This window comes from Homo sapiens, chromosome 5, assembly GCF_000001405.40.
Source record: "Homo sapiens chromosome 5, GRCh38.p14 Primary Assembly".
In the NCBI taxonomy this organism is placed as follows: domain Eukaryota; kingdom Metazoa; phylum Chordata; class Mammalia; order Primates; family Hominidae; genus Homo; species Homo sapiens.
In genome coordinates, this window is record NC_000005.10 from 94,965,930 (window position 1) to 94,982,981 (window position 17,052).

Genomic DNA, 17,052 nt, shown 5'->3' on the forward strand with positions numbered 1-17,052 from the left:
CAGGCCCTTACTGGACACCAAACCGGCCGGTGCTTGGACTTCCAGCTTCCAGAACTATGAGAAATCTATAACTGTGTATTTATAGATTACTCAGTCCCAAGTATTTTTTTATACCAGCACAAACAGATTAAACAATCCTCAAACTGACTTTGAGTTGGAAAAAGCATATATTATTAATATCAATCTACATTGCAGGTGAGGAACAATCTGGAATTTTATGTTACTTGCCCAAAATATCGTAACAATTAAGCTAATAAGTGACAGGAATGGAGGGCATATTTAGACTTTCAGACTCCAAGCCCAATGTTTCTTCTATTCAACAGTTTAGGAATCCCAGACACCCATATTTTTCTTTAACTCTAAAACAGTGGCATATAACTACTGTGTGAAAGTATTAAGCAATTGTTGCAATACTACGTATAATACCACTATTGACAAGTATTTATTCTGGTCTATAAAGCTCTCATACTTTTGTTTAATCACCACTATCTCAGTGAGTCTACTATTGCCTCCATTTTATAGATGAGAAAACCAAGAAGGGTTAATAACTTGCTCCAAGTCATACAGTTAATAAGGATGTGGCTGGCCGGACGCGGTGGCTCACGTCTGTAATCCCAACACTTTGGGAAGCCGAGGCAGGGGAATCACAAGGTCAGGAGATCAAGACCATCCTGGCTAACACGGTGAAACCCCGTCTCTACTAAAAATACAAAAAATTAACAAGGCGTGGTGGCGGGCACCTGTAGTCCCAGCTACTCAGGAGGCTGAGGCAGGAGAATGGCGTGAACCTGGGAGACGGAGGTTGCAGTGAGCCGAGACTGTGCCACTGCGCTCCAGCCTGGGCGACAAAGCGAGACTCTGTCTCGAAAAAAAAAAAACAACAAAACCAAGGATGTGGCAGGGCCCAAACTCAATCTCAAATCTGAGGGCTAGTTCAGCTAGTGCTTTTTCTTGCACATGATCACAAAGCCTTCTCCCATTTCAAAGTGTTGTTACAATGATCTATTTCTTTGTTCCCCTCAAAACTAGGAATGATCATTTTACAAAAAACGCACTCGCACAAAATCTGGCCTTATTGGGTTTCTCTGCAGTTATTGGTAGTACACAATGTCAACTTCATTTAGTTTGGCTATTATGTAAAAATACTGATACAACTTTTAGTAATTTAGCACAGAGGCCTATACACTCAGATGTTAATCTTTTTGAGAAGCATTTTGCTTCTTGCTCCCTCCCAGAAACATTTTTTCTCAACCACTGTGTAGGTTAAGTGTCAAAATCCCCTGAAGGTTGGGTAGAGATGGTTCCTAGAATCCTGCTGGGTGGTCTGCTGGGTCTTAATGGTACCACTTCCATTATAAAAGGGAACTTAGATCACTATAGCTAACATTTATTGAACACTTATTATATCAGCTATCACACACCACGTAACAAGCCAATGTGATGAGTTCTATTGTTATCTTGAGTTCACAGCTGAAGAAACTGCAGCATGAAATAAGGGAGTAAATTCCCCAAAGTCATACAACTAGGCTGCTGGAACCTGAACTTAACTGCTACACTAGGCTGTCTCCAAACACAACACTTCTCATGCTGGGTGTCATATCCCTGATGACACTGTAAATATCCAATGGCTTGAAGAAGTAAAATGTCAGCTAACAAGAGTAGATTGAAGAGTTAAGTTAAAATTCAAGGACAGATTTTTCAGTCTGCAATAGACACAGAGATGTTCGAGACTGGTGTCAGAGAGAGACAGAGGCTGCTTGTTAGGATCTCCAAAAACGTATTATGATGGCGCAATATTTTATAAACGTGTGGTCTTGGTCACAGGGTGACCTGGTTTAAAAGTGGTAAATATGTCAGCAAATTTCATTAGCACAGGAAAAACAGATCCAGGCGAACAACTCTTGGTAGTTCGTCATCTAATTTTCTCTGCTTTGTTTTGACTTCATAGGATAAAATTTGCTACATTTCTCTTTCCAACCATCACTTAGTGGCTTTTAGGTACTGTTATTAAAATTTCATAATTTTAATAGCCAAGTATTAAAAAGAAATTTCTAATCATTTTCAAATTCTTAACTTAGGGGACTTTTAGTGATTGAGAGTCCTTAATATTTCAAGACCCTCAGCTTGTTGTGATTCCAACATGGGTAACTGGAGACATTGTTCTTTTAATTTAGGTTCAGTGAAAGATTTTTAACTAATGCACTAATCTATGTTTGAAAGTGTTTTTACCAAGTATATTTTAGCAAGATATTATCTGATGACATTAATAGCTATTATTTATTTTTTAAAGGAGTTATATGGTCAAGTATATTTGGAAAATACTGGTTTAGAAGAAAATTAAATAGATTCCTTTTCTGTAGCCTTTAAATAATTGAACGTTCACTATGACTTTCCAAGAAGGAGGCTTGACAGGCATCACTTACTAAGTTTTTTTGACTATGAGGCCTACTTTTCTTGAGTGCATCTTTTAGGACCAACAATCCTTGGATCTCTCTTTGGGAAATGTTACTTCCTTATATTTCATTATAGGGAAATTACACGTTTTCAAGATTATATTATTATTGACTTTACAGTGGATTTAAATAATTTTATTGTAATAGAACTCCCAGGAAATCCAAGTCACTAATATGTGGTATGTGGTTAATCTTCAATAAACATACTATACAAAAAGGATTTAGTTTGTTGGTTCGAAAGACTCAAAAAAATCAATAGCTTCATATGCCAGTGCTGTTTTGTTGCAATATTGCATAAAACCACAAGATGGCAATAGTACTTATCAAATTAAAGAGAGGCCTGTGGTTCTGCTATTGAAACCAAAGGTTAGAGCGCCTTGCAGGGCACACTTTGAAGTTCCCAGGCATTTTCTGGCAGCATATGCTTTGTTGTTATTATCTGGACCATTACTTTCATTGACATACTTTTTATGACGATAAATGAATTGAAAACAAGTCAAAAAGTACGAAAGATGAATCTAGAAAGTATTCGCCCTACAGTAAAATTCAGATTTTGTTATTAATGTCATATTCAAGAACAACCTTTCACATATTCATTTTGTCAGGTAGCCTTAACTTTAGAATTTGTTTATAAAAACATTATTTTGTAATTATAAATTCCATGGTCTAAAAGTTCTAGACTATCCTAGACCTAGGAAATATCAATTTTTTCTAAATGCTGGAATAAAATTCCTTTAAAAAGAGGAATTGGACGGTTTCTATAATGTTTACTCATGTAGCAAAGGAGTACATGTTCTTAATGCTATATTTATTTATTTTTTACAAGGCAGGATACTGATGGGCACTTCAACATTCTGTGTAATATTTAAAGCCTTTTATGTTATTTAAGACAACACAACTAAACGTGGTCTGAATGTGTCCATTTTTATGTAGCAATAAACACAGCATACACAAGATGGCAGCCTATCTTCCCTTAAACTAGTATTAAAGATATTTAAAATGTAAATAGCTGTCTATTAATGATACTCTTGCTTTTCATTCTCAGAATAAATAAGCCTCCTGGTTAACAAGTTTAAATCAGTCTCATTCCAAACCTAGCACTTAATGAAACAGAAACAGCTACTCACGTTTTGGGAAATCTACAACTACTCAATAATGCTAAGTCTTCATCGAAAACAATGCCAAATTGCAACTCAGTGTCACAAGAAGAAGGAGGAGGAGGAATAAGAAAAAAGACAAAAGAAAAAAAGCAGTGAACACATATATTGTGGGGACAGTTAAAATTTAAGCTGGATCTTTCTGAAGATAACTGATCTTCCTACAAATATTTAAAGCTAGCTACCTTTGCTGTCCAATTGTAACAGAGGGTATCCTTGTAGAATAAGGTCCTTCACATTTGAGAGGTTGTAAAAATAGTGACATTCAAAACATCAGTGATTTAAAAATCTTCAAAAAGGGTACCTTATGGATGTGTTAAAATAATTTCCATAAGCTATTCTATTCCCTCATTTTTTGCTGGAGACTTGTTATGCCCTAGGATGGAAATATTTCATAATGCTAAATAACTAAATATATTAAAATTTAAATGCAAGAGGTTTATAATCACAGGTGGCTTCATATAATAAAATAAAAGTAAACCAACATTTTTTCCATAATGAACATGAATATTCCAATGAATTTAAAATTTCTGGTAAGTTACCATGATATAGCACATAGATTAATTTAAAATAATAGTATGGTAAAGTGTAGCATAGGATGGCACTAGGTATATTTATTTCCTGAAGAGTAGTAGAAGGCAGTTCAGGTAACCTTTAGGCTTAGTTTTCTCTCCTAAATGCAGAGTTGAAGACATGCAAGACGAAATTATTCATGTTGTATCCCAAATATAACATGAATAATTTGGGATACATATGTATGGATGTATTTGGGATATACTTATTCATACAACTTATTCAAATTTGGGATATATATGTATGGATGTATTTGGGATATACTTATTCATATAACTTATTCAAATTCCCTTTCATATCTGACATAAACAGCAGGTGGTATCTAAATGCAATTTTCTGATAACTTCTGGAAGTTTAGGTAAACGAAAATATGGATTGCTTTAATTTTGAATGTAAGTTGTATATTACTTGGTGACATTGAGCAACTACAACAACTATCCTAGATGTCATTTTTTCCAAAGGGCCTTACTCCTGTCTCCTCCAGGAATTCGCTCTATGACTGGTAATTGACTCAGTGACTCAGTAGATACAATATATAGTACTATTAATTTTTTTTACCGAAAGGAAACTATTTTTCCTGAGAATTCTGCTGAAATATGCTACCATGTTTATATAGCCATCCTAACAAAAAATCACATCTAAAAAATTAAACGTTTTTTAAAAGAACTTTAACTTTCCTATTTAAAAAATCAGAATATTTTAAAAAATAGACCCTAAAGTATTACGCCTCTTCAATCCTTTTTTTTTTTCTTGGCTATCCCAATACTTTTCTGAAATTGTTTCCTTGAGTGTCACCAATAACTTTTAAAAATTCATCAATTTCAACGGGCTTTTCTTCGTTTTCAGCCCTTTTCATCTGTGGGTCACACTGGGTATTATTAATTGCAATGATTCTGGGATTTTCTTCTTATTTGGATTCTGCAGTCCCAGTACTCCTATAGCCAAAGAGTTAGTTGTGTCTATTGTCTACATGTCTACAAGAACTATGATCTTAGAAAAGTCACTTAGGCTCTGTTGTATACAGTTTTGTATCCTTAAAATGAGGGGATTTCCCAAATTTCTCTGAGGGTCTCTGATAAGACCTCTCTTGCATGTCTTTGACAGAGAATAAGCCATTCCACATAAATGAATTTTCTAGGAAACTAAAAATTACCACGTAGAACACCAAAACCTGTTTCATTAATATACTTAAAGGAATTATTTCTAAAATTTATTAAATTTTTATCCCTTTTAGGTAAACAATGAATGCAATTTAAAAAAAAATGGGGCAGAGCATCATTTGTTAAGTGTGTCTAGGAAATTATCATCAAGGTTCTAGCAAGATAAAGTTAAATATGTAGAAAACTAGTGAAACTTGAGTAGAAGTGTTTTAATTTCTGAATTCCCAAACTAATTATTGCTAAAGGTCAATAATCAGACAGACATTTCCCACTAGTGGATGCTTCTATAATCTGTTTATTCTATATATGCACTTCTTTTGCTTTATACCTTTCAATTCAGAGTTGTTATAAATTCAATAATGGTATTATTTCCATTGCTAAATATGCCAAGGAACAAAATGTAGTTCTTAAAATAAAACAAGTTAAAAGTGATGTGAGGTCGAAGGAGACTTGAGTTCCAAAATCACCACACAGAGAGCCATCTGCCAATCAGAAGCACCTGCCTTGGACTCTTATGTAGGTTAAAAATAAACTTCTATTACATTTGAGCCATTAAATATTTTGAGGTCCATTTATAATCACAGTTCATTCTACTCTAACAAATTCCTAAGTCCTGTGGATTCTAATTATTAAATTTCCATTTGCAACAAACCTAGCCCACCAGTTCAGCCTAGCCCACCTGACATCTGTTCTTAAGATCTTTGTTCAATTGGTAAAACATCTCTTGAAATGATCTCTGCCACCATTGCCCCATCATTCCTTATCTAGATTATTTAGAGCCTTCTGCGTGGTCTCTCTGCCTTCCTTCAAACCCATCCTCTAAGTCCTAATGGAATTCTCTCCATCATATACAAATCAGGCCATTTTATTCCTCTTGGACTACATTTCAGTCCATATTCTGCACCCACAAGCACTGCTGTGGGGAACCCAGGCCCCAGAACTCTGGCTCAGCATCAGTATTCAAAGCTTCTCCTTGTTCAGGAGATTTTGCACAAACAGGAGTAAATTTTTATCATCTTACACTCTTACCATGGAGACTATGGATCCTAATTTGTCTTCTGTGGCAGGTTGAACCCTTAACAGCCATTTTCCCCCTTTCCCTTCACTATCACTGAATAGAGTCTCTGTGAGTTTTAGCGGAATGCCTGGTCCTCCCTTCAGAGAATATCTTATTCTCCAAGCAACAGGTGTGGCCATGTACCCATGTCCTTCCTGGTAGGATGTGAGAATAAGTGACCTATGCAACTTCTGGGTCTTATGGTGAAAATGGAGCAGTTGCTTTAGACAAGAGATGGAAACCACACAGTGATGAGAGCAGAACCATATCATCAGCTCTAGATCTTTCTGGGGTTCATGTGGAAGAAAATATAATTTTAAAAATTATCAGAAAAGTTGGGTCTCTTGTTACCAGAAGCTTAGTTTGCATCCTAAATCATTCTAATTAAGAAACAACTTTTCAAATAGATTTTCCTTCTAGAAAAGCATGTTTCTTAATTAGAATGATTCATATGACTTCACAGAGCCAATCAATTTTGTGTGAGTCCCATTCAATTCAGTTTAATAAGACTATGGGGGATGAACCAGCTTTTCCCATAGCCTGGCCATTCTTAGGCAAGGGGGTTTCTCATTTACAGAACTGAAAGGCAAAGTCCACTAAATGAACAAAAAAAAAACCACTGGGTTGAGGAGGGAGAGAACTAACTTTCTTGAGTATCTACTGTGTGCCTTGTGCTTTTAATACAATATTTTATTTAGTTATAACTCTAGCCCTGTGAGTTGGGTTAAACTAGCACAAAGGAGGCATCTAATAAATGTTTGTCAAGCAAATGAATAAATTAGTATTCTCAGTATTTTACAGATGAGTAAACTGGTTCAGAAAGATTAGGCTGCTTGACCTGGTTACCTAACTTGTAAGCAGTGGCAGCTCTAGAATCCATTACAAGAGCTATTTGATTCTAGATTCCAAATTTACTTCATTACACTGTGATGCCTAACCATCGTCATCTTTTCCGATCAACCGACTTGTCCCGTCTACCTCAAACTATTATTTTTGGGCTCAGCCCTTCCATAATCTATCTCCTGGTTCCCCCATGAGAGACAAGATTGTATACTAGGGAAGCCATGGATCTCAATCAATTTGGCAATTATTAATTCTGTGCCATTAGCATAACAGAGTATTGGTTACACCCACTCAGTGAATTTGACGGGGAAGATGAGTTATTTAGTGTCTTTTGTCTCCATTAGACCAAAAATAGTATGAAGACAGAGACCATTTTTGCATCCCAGAACCTGCCACAAAGCAGGTACTCAAGTGCTCAATAAATATTTGTTGGCTTGTATGAATGACATACATTACTGTTAATATATTACCTTTGCTAAGCTAGGCACTTATTCAGAAGCCTAAAACTGGGTGTCTTTCTGCAACAAATAAAATTGCTTAATGGTGCTCTATAGAAAAATATAATTAAAAGGTATGAGATTGCTTAGTATATTTCTGAGGGGGATGAAAAGGCTCATGACCACTCCATCTGTAATAGAGATGGTTTAGTGTGGTACAGGGTAGTTCACAGTTCGACCTCCAAGTTAGAAAGCCTGGGTTCCAATCTCTGCTCCTGCACTTACAAGCTGTGTGGACTTGCACAAGTAGAAGATGCACATAGATAGAAATGGAGACGATTATAGAACCTCCTTAAGGTCATTGTGAGGGTTTAATTACATAATACATATCAAGTACTTAGCACAGTTCCTCCCACAAAATAAACATTCAATAACTATTAGCAATTTTTCTTCATCTTACTCAACATGAAGACAAAGTAATATAATTACTTAACAATCTGAAAACTTGACTCAATATAATTAAATTTAAATAAAGAACTACAAACATATTAAAATGGTTATCAAATCTCTGATTTCATATGTGGAATGATTTATTTCAATTGAGATAACAGTTACTAATTATCTATTTTTCCTAATCATTTAGGAATACATAAATAGAACAAGCACAGTGTCTCACACTTGTAATCCAATGCTTTGGGAGGCCACGGTGGGAGAATTTCTTCAGGTCAGGAGTTTGAGACCAGCCTGGGCAACAACAGTAAAACCCTGTATCTACAAAATTTTTTTAAAAAATTAGCTGGGCATGGTGGTATGCCTGTAGTCCCAGTTACTTGGGACACTGAGACAGGAGGACTGTTTGAGTCTAGGAGTTGGTGGCTGCAGTGAGCTCTCATTGTGCCACTGTACTCCAGCCTGGGCAACAGAGCAAGACCCTATCCCTGAAAAATAATAATACATAAGTATACAGCAAAAAGTAGTAATTATTATTTTCAGAGGATTCATTGGCTTTGTTAAGTCAAGAGAAAAAGCCTATAATTAATTACAAATATTATATAAATAAACCTAAGTATCAAAAAAGTGCCATTAAAATAACCAGATCCTATAGAATATATGCATGAAAAAAATGATTATGACCCTAAAAAAAACCAAAAAAATCTCCTTATCAGCTAAAACCATAAGTAATAACAATACAAATAGTTGCACGACTTTTGTAGATTAATTACTATCATTAACTGGAATAATTTCAAGCAATTATATTACAATGTGATTAAAATACATCACAAATGACCATGGTAATGAAATAATACATTTCTTAGACTATTCATATATTCACTTTGAGAAAAAAGGCAAGCCAATGGTCTTCTATTTGTCTCCATGCTTCTAGTCTTCCTTATTTCAATTCATTCTCCAAAATCTTACGATTGTTTTTCTGTTATTCCCTTGCTTTTAATTCTTCATTTCTTTCTCAGTGATTTTAGAATGGATCAGGGAAGGTGTCCAAGCAGCAGTGAAGCTTGAATAAATACTGAAAGAAGACTGGCCATGGTGGGGTAGGACACTCAAGACAAAGGGAAAGGGGTGAAGAGGGGCACAGCATGTGTTATGGACTGAATGTTTATACCCCCGCAACTCCCTGCCAAATTCGTAGGCTGAAACTCTAGTCTTCAATGTGATGGTATTTGGAAGTAAAGACTTCAGGAGGCGATTAGGTTTGGATAAGGTCATGAGGATGGTGCCCTCCTGATGGGATTAGTGCCCTTATAAGACAAAGAAGAGACACGGGAGCTCTCTCTTTCTCCATGCACTGAGGAAAGGCCTTCTGAGCACACAGCAGGAAGGTGGCTGTCTACAAGCCAGGAGGCAGGTCCTCACCAGGAACCCAATCTGCTGGCACCTTGATCTTAGACTTCCCAGGCTTTAGAACTGTGAGAAATAAATGTCTGTTGTTTAAGCCACCCAGTCTACAGTATTTCGTTATAACAGCCCAAGCAAAGATGGCATATCATACAAAATTTTCTTTGTTAATTTCTGCAGACTCATCTCTCAACAGACATCCCATCTATAGAATATTTGCACCATCTCAAAGTCACAGCCTCTCTCCAATAACTGTGCCTCTCTTCACCCCTTTCCCTCTCTCTTGAGTGTCCTACTCCACCATGGCCAGTCTTCTTTTAGTATTTATTCAAGCTTCACTGCTGCTTGGACGCCTTCCCTGATCTACTCATGGACATTATTAGGCCTTTTTCTTACACTCCCAAACATTCTTTGCCATAGCACTTGTCACATTGAGGCCTTGCTGTTTATTTCTGATCCCTGATGTCTAGCACAACTCCTGGGTCATCGAGAAATCTTTGTTGACTGAAAACACATGTATAACTGAAGGAAGGAATATGTATCATCGCATAATAACAACACAACCTAATGAGGTAACCAGTACTTAAGTTGCACACCCTTTATGTCCCACTCCCTTATTCCCTACTCTTATCCACTATGATACTAAGTACTTAATCTGAAATATGTAAAGCTTAATATCACAAGAGTACTGTGCTACCACTTCTACAACAGTAAGCATTTGCCATTTCTACTTCCCCAAGCTATGGTGATTGGCATTCACTGTAATTCCTAAAAATGGTCAGCCTGTCCTCGCTTTAGCCAACATGGCAAAACCCTGTCTCTACTAAAAATACAAAAATTATCCAGGTGTAGTGGCGGGCACCTGTAATCCCAGCTACTAGGGAGGCTGAGGCAGGAGAATTGCTTGAATCAGGGAGGTGGAGGTTGCAGTGACCAAGATCACGCCAATGCACTCCATTCTGGGCTTCACAGCAAGACTCCATCTCAAAAAATAAATATATAAATAAATAATAAAAGTACTTTTAGACAATCTAATTTTAGTAGCAATCTTCTAAGAGTTTTTTATTTGATTGATTGATTGATTGATTTCAATTTCTTCAGAGCAACCAACTAGAAACCAGACCAGAATAAAGGTGTTTGGATATACTTGTGACATATCTCTCAATATCTAATAAATAGATATAGCAAACATACAGTAAAAACATTCTTATTTTTTCCACAAGATATTTAGAAGGAAGGTTTTTCTTATGTGTATAGAGAAGTTATGGTTGAGATTGTTACCCCTCACTGATGTGTGTTTCCTCTTCTTCCTGGCCATGTAGCACAACTGTATTTTCTCTAACAAACTAAAAAGAGAAGAAAATTACCTCATAATAAAGGCCAGATGTGAAAATCCCATAGCTAATATCATACTCAATGGTGAGAAACTGAAAGACTTTTTTCTAAGATAAGGAACACGATGCCCACTCTCACCACTTCCATTCAACATAGGACTAGAAGTCCTATCCAGAGGAATTGGACAAGAAAAGGAAATAAAAGCTATCCAAATCTGAAAAGGAGAAGTAAAATTGGCCCTGTTTGCAGATGATGTCATCTTACACATAAAAAACAGAAGATTCCACAACAAACTGTTAGAATAAATAAGCAAGTCAAGTAACATTGCAGGATACAAAATCAACATACAAAATCAATTGCATTTTTATACACTAACAATGAACTATCTGAAAAGGAAATGAAGAAAAAGAATTGTGTCTACATTATCCCTCAAAATAATAAAATACTTAGAAATAAGCTCAACTAAGAAGGTAAAAGACTTGTACACTGAAAACTATAAAATGTTAATGAAAGAAATTAAAGAAGACACTAATAAATGAAAAGTCATCTTGTGTTCATGAATTGAAAAATGGAATATTGTTAAAATGTACATACTACCCAAAGCAATCTATAGATTCAATGAAATCTCTATCAAATTCCAATGATATTTTTTACAGAAATAGAAAAAAAAAACCCTAAAATTCATATGGAACCACAGATGACCCCGAATAGTCAAAAAAAATCTTGAGAAAGAAAAACAAAGCTGGAGGCATCATACTTCCTGATTCAAAATATATTACAAAGCTACAGTAATTAAAACAGCATGGTACTGTGAAAAAGACAGACATATAGTCCAAGGAACAGAATGAAAATCAATCCATGCCTGTATGGTAAACTGACCTTCAACAAGGGTGCCAGGAATACAAAATAGGGAAAGGATAGTCTTCAACGAATAGCTTTTGAAAACTGTATATTCACATGCAGAATAATGAAACTGGACTCTTATCTTACCCCATATACATAAATCAATACAAATGGATTAAAAACTTAAATATAAGTCATGAAACTATAAAACAGGGAAAAACCTTCATGACATTAGTTTTGTCAATGATTGCGTGAGTATGACACCAAAAGCACAGGAAACAAAAGTAAAACCAGGCAAATGGGACTAGAGGAAATATCTGCAAATCATATATCAGATAAGGGGTTAGTTTCCAATATATAAGGAATTTCTACAACACAATAGCAAAAAAACCTAATAATCTGATTTTAAAACTGGGCTAAGTCTGGAATAGACATTTCTCCAAAGAAGACATACAAATGGCCAACAGGTATATGAAAAGATGCTGTTACCAAACATCAGGGGAATGAAAATCAAAAATACAATGAGACATCACCTGACACCTGGTAGGAAAACTATCAACACGTGTTGGTGAGGATGTGAAGAAATCTGAACCCTTGTACACTGTTGGTGGGAATGCAAAATGGTGCAGTTACTGTGGAAAACAATATGGAGATTTCTAAAAAAAAATAAAAATAGAGCTACCATATGATTTAGCAATCTGACTTTTTAGTATTTATCTAAAAGAACTGAAATCAGGATCTTAAAGAGAAATAAGCACTCCCATATTCATTGCAACACTATTTACAATAACCAAGACATAGAAGCAACCTAAATGTTCATCAATGAATGCATGCATAAAAAGAAGATGTGGTATATATATATAATGGAATATTATTCAGACTGAAAAAAGAAGGAAATCCTGCAATATGTGACAACATGGATGAAACTTGAAGACATTATGCTATATACCAGCCACAGAAGGACAAATACTGCATGATTTCACTTACATCAGATATCTAAAATAGTCAAACTCATTGAATCAGAAAGTAGAATGGTGGATGCCAAGGGCTGGTAGTAGGGGTGGGGAATGGGGTGTTTCCAGTCAATGGGCATAAAGTCTCAATTACACAAGATGAATACGTTTTTGAGATCTGCTGTACAACATTGCTCCTATATTAATATTGTACTATATGCCTAAAAATGTGTTAAGAGTGTAGATCTCATGTTAAGTGTTCTTACCACAATAAAATAAATTTTTTTAAAAAACCAAGATCATTGGGTGTGATCATTGGCACACAGAAGCCTACTGCCTACTGAGTTTTTGAGAGAAAGAACTTAGCTGTTTGAGATCCCTGACATTACCCTAGTAGGAAGCAGGATATGAAAGATGTACAATCCCCAAGGAGAGCAAGCTCCTTCACACCCATTTCAGACATGGCCATAGAGGACAATGAATAAGAAATAGATCCCCAAATTAAGGGGCCAGTTGCCACGGAGAACAACAAACAAGAGGATTCTTCCCAGACAGAAAAGTTCTAATCAAACAATTTTCCTACTCTCCAGGTTAAGAGGCCTTCATCTGGCCTCTTTATGGACATGGGGATTTCAGAATTTATACTGACAAGTAACTTGTGCCCCCCATGATTTCTACCATTGTATGTTGGATGTGTATAGGGAGACTGTAGGCAGATTCTTAGTTCCGAGGGCTACAAGGAACCACATTCAGACCTGACAGAGAATATCCTTTTATTCAGAGATCCTGAACTTAGAGCTGTATACGGTGATCAGATGGGACTTTGACTGTTTCTCTTGGAGAAGAGTGAATGTCTTCTATATGCAGGAAGAGTGAAACATATTTGGTGACCAGAGGTAGAGTATAGCCAAGAATGCTACTGCTTGGCAATATGAGCTATAGCTTCCGGCCTCCTTTAAAATTAGGAGTGGTCAATTGGCTGCATTCTGGTCAACTGAATATAAATGCAAAAGGTAATGTGTGCCAATTTTAAGCCTGGCCTATAAAAATCTTCCCATGTGGGATTCTTACTCTACTCTGTCAACCACAGGCTTTGAGGACCAAAAGGGAGATAGTAACACTAGATAGAAAAAAAACACTAGGGGCCCGTGATGACTGTGTGGAGCAGAACTAGAGCCCCACCCTCCAACACGGACACATATTAAACCATAATAAGAGCAAGAAAAACAGCTTTTCTTAGGTTAAATCATTGATATATCGGGTTTATCTGTTTAGTTATATATCTTAACAAATACAAAATTTAAACCACAACAAATCATGATTATATTGTTTGGTGCTAATAATAAGGAAAATGTAAGATTTAAGGCCCTTAAAGAAAGGACTCCACTGACATTTAGTTTTAAAAAATACCTTAAAAATTCAACTTGTGAAATATCAAGTGATCAACAGTTTACTCCAATAATGATGCTTTATAAGAATTAGTACTAAACATATAGTTTTAGGAACTTTTAATAAAATTACCCTTACCATTTTGTTGGAATTTAGTGACATTTAAAACAGTACTCCCAGATATATTTTAGATAAATCATTTATAATCTTTTAATTGTTTTCCCCCTACTTTAACAACAGCAGCAAAGCAAAACAAAGTCATATTATGCAAATGATTCATCTTCCCACTTTCCAATGCCTTCCCGTCACAACTAAGTGATGAATGAATAATCTTATAGAAACAAAAAGTCTTAGCATTGGAAGAGACTTCGTCCAGTCTTTCATTAATACAAAAATTCTAGTTACAAACCCAGTAACATATGACACATGATCATATAGACGGAATGTAGAGGCAGCTTGAATGCTTCCAGCACAGCACTGGAATTCAATGAAATATTGAATTTCCTTTTGAAATTCAATATTTGTTGAAAACATATGTTATGTGATATAGTATATTTTGATTTTGGACAGGTATGTCATAAAATGTATGTTTAAAGAGCTAATCTTCCTCATCTGAATCTTTAGAGCTTTAAGGAAATGGCTAGTCCTTATTTCATAGACACCCTTTCCAAGCATGTGTAGTCCTAAAGACATTGTCACTGGCACGATTCTATATTTGAGGTCATTAAAAAAAAGATACAATAAGCTGATCTTCTTATCCATGTTCTTCAATGAGAGAAGTTTTAAAGGGTATGCTTCCACAGATGAGCAACTAAAAGTTTTTTTCGTTTTAAAATACAGGTTTAAAGGAAATGATTACAGTTGCCACCATCTCCTTGATTATTAATTAAAGGCTTTTCTTCAATTATCATATTATTCCATATAGTCAATGGTTATATAAGTTTTATAAGTAAAAAAGATAAGCAAAGCAAAATGTTAACACCTACCATGTAACTAAAATACTTGAGGAACAATGAAAAAAAAACCTTCACCCCTTATGCTAAAAACAGTTAATAAGTGTTTAATGTGACAAGTGACTTCAAAACTTGCAATTATCCTGCTAAAGCATGGCGTCACTGATAGAGACAAAGACGGCAGATATAGTATAGTGGTAGGTGGTGTGGGTCCCTGTTCTTATCTTCAACACAGTATTCCCTTCAACTCTCTGGCAGGGTGTGGGAAAAGTCCGAGGTTTCCACTGGTAAGTTTAATAAAAGATGTAGAACCAATCTAAGTTATACACTTCCCAAGGGACACACTCTTTTTATGCCTTCTGTCTTTTCTGTTAAACTTGCTACTTTTCCAATGCCATTAACATCCTATTACTTTGTTAAGGAAGACAGGGCTCTTGCATATTACAAGATTTGTGCTAGCTCTCAGAGTGAATAAATTCTCCTGCTAGTATGATTTTCCTTTCCTGAAATACACTCACACATTCAACAATATTTACTGGATGTCAACATGTGTTAGGTGCTGTGGATTCGGCAGTGCATAAAACAACATCTCTACTCTCAAGGAGTCTCCCTCCATTCTAGTGGAGGAAGACAGGCAGTGAGCCAATATATGAGCATACAGTGTGCTGTGTGGTGATCAGAGCATGGAACAACAGAGAGTTGGGTAAAGGCGTGGTGGTCAGAGGGTTTGCTATTTTGGATGAGGTGTGGAGAGAAAGCCTCACCTATAAGGACACATTTGAAAAGGGACTTGAAACAATGAAGGAGGTTTCCAGGCAGAGAAAGCAGCAAGTGCAGAGGCCCTGAAGAATTCTAACATTGCTGGAGCTAGTGGCCTAGAAAGTGAATGAAAGGAGATGAAATCAGAGCTGAGTGGGGCAACAGATCATGTGGGGCTCTGTAGGCCCTTAGAAAGGGTTTGGGGTTTTTCTTCAAGTAAATTAAAATAAGAGAGCAAATGAATAATCAGGAAAAAATGTTTTAAGGTTGCCTTGTCTGATGTCAAGTTATCGTTCTTTGATCAGGGAATATACCTATAACAGAAAAACAGAATGTACTTAAAGGGCCAATCATAAAAGGGCAAGTACATTGTTTTCTTAAGTTACTCAAAGTAATTACTAAGTTTTAAGACTAGCTGGCCTGAAATATTTTGACAAATTTAACCTAAAGGTTAATGATACATACAAAATGAGTATGGATTTTTACATTTCTTATCTTTATGTCTACACTATATCCTTTAAAATTTAGATTTTAAGTTATATACAATATAATCAAATATAAAATATTTCCAGAATCTATTCCGACTCCTGTCAATGTCAATGTTATCTTGTTTATCTTGGTACTGATACAATAACAACAAATGAAATTTGGCAACATTCAGCACTAAAATATATTTAAGGCAATGACACACTTATGGTGTATCGAGCACATAATGAGATAGCCATCATTTCAAGCTGGTGGTAAATGTCTTTCCTGCTGTGGTAGGCAGAATTCTAAAATGTACCCCCAAGATTTCTTATACTGACTGAATATGATGAAATTTCATTCATGTCTATGATTATGTTACTTATATGGCAAAAGGGATTTTGCTGATGTAATTAAGGTTACTAATAAGTTGACTTTGAGTTCATCAAAAGAAAGATGGTCACGCACCTGTAATCCCAGCACTTTGGGAGGCCAAGATGGGCAGATCACCTGAAGTCAGGAGTTCAAGACCAGCCTGGCCAACAGGGCAAAACTCTGTATTTACTAAAAATACAAAAATTAACTGGGCATGGTGGTGCATGCCTGTAGTCCCAGCTACTCAGGAGGCTGAGGTGGGAGAATTGCATGAACCTGGGAGGAAGAGGCTGCAGTGAGCCAAGATCGTGCCACTGTACTCTACCTGGGGGACAGAGCACACTTCATCAAAAAAAAAAAAAAAAAAAAAAAAAAAAAGATGGTCAGGGTGGACCTAATTTTATCCCATTTTCTTTAAGAGCAGAGAGTTTTCTCTACTTGATAGC

At 35.9% G+C, this 17,052-nt stretch overlaps 1 protein-coding gene and 1 long non-coding RNA gene across 57 annotated transcripts in view; one reads left to right on the top strand and one right to left on the bottom strand.

The window, feature by feature from the left end:
• The window catches only part of MCTP1 (multiple C2 and transmembrane domain containing 1), a 581,405-nt gene that overhangs the window by 262,240 nt on the left and 302,113 nt on the right, over positions 1-17,052 (bottom strand). The window contains exon 1 of one of the 56 annotated variants that reach the window (XM_011543650.3): positions 13,055-13,134. The exons of the other annotated variants lie outside the window; for them this stretch is intronic. The gene's annotated coding sequence lies outside the window, so the exon portion shown is untranslated. Of the gene's footprint in view, positions 1-13,054; positions 13,135-17,052 lie in introns of those variants that run through there. 56 annotated transcript variants of the gene reach the window in all.
• Positions 12,769-14,964, top strand: MCTP1-AS1 (MCTP1 antisense RNA 1). The gene is made up of 2 exons (NR_189169.1): positions 12,769-13,678; positions 14,895-14,964. It is a non-coding gene; the product is annotated as an MCTP1 antisense RNA 1 (long non-coding RNA).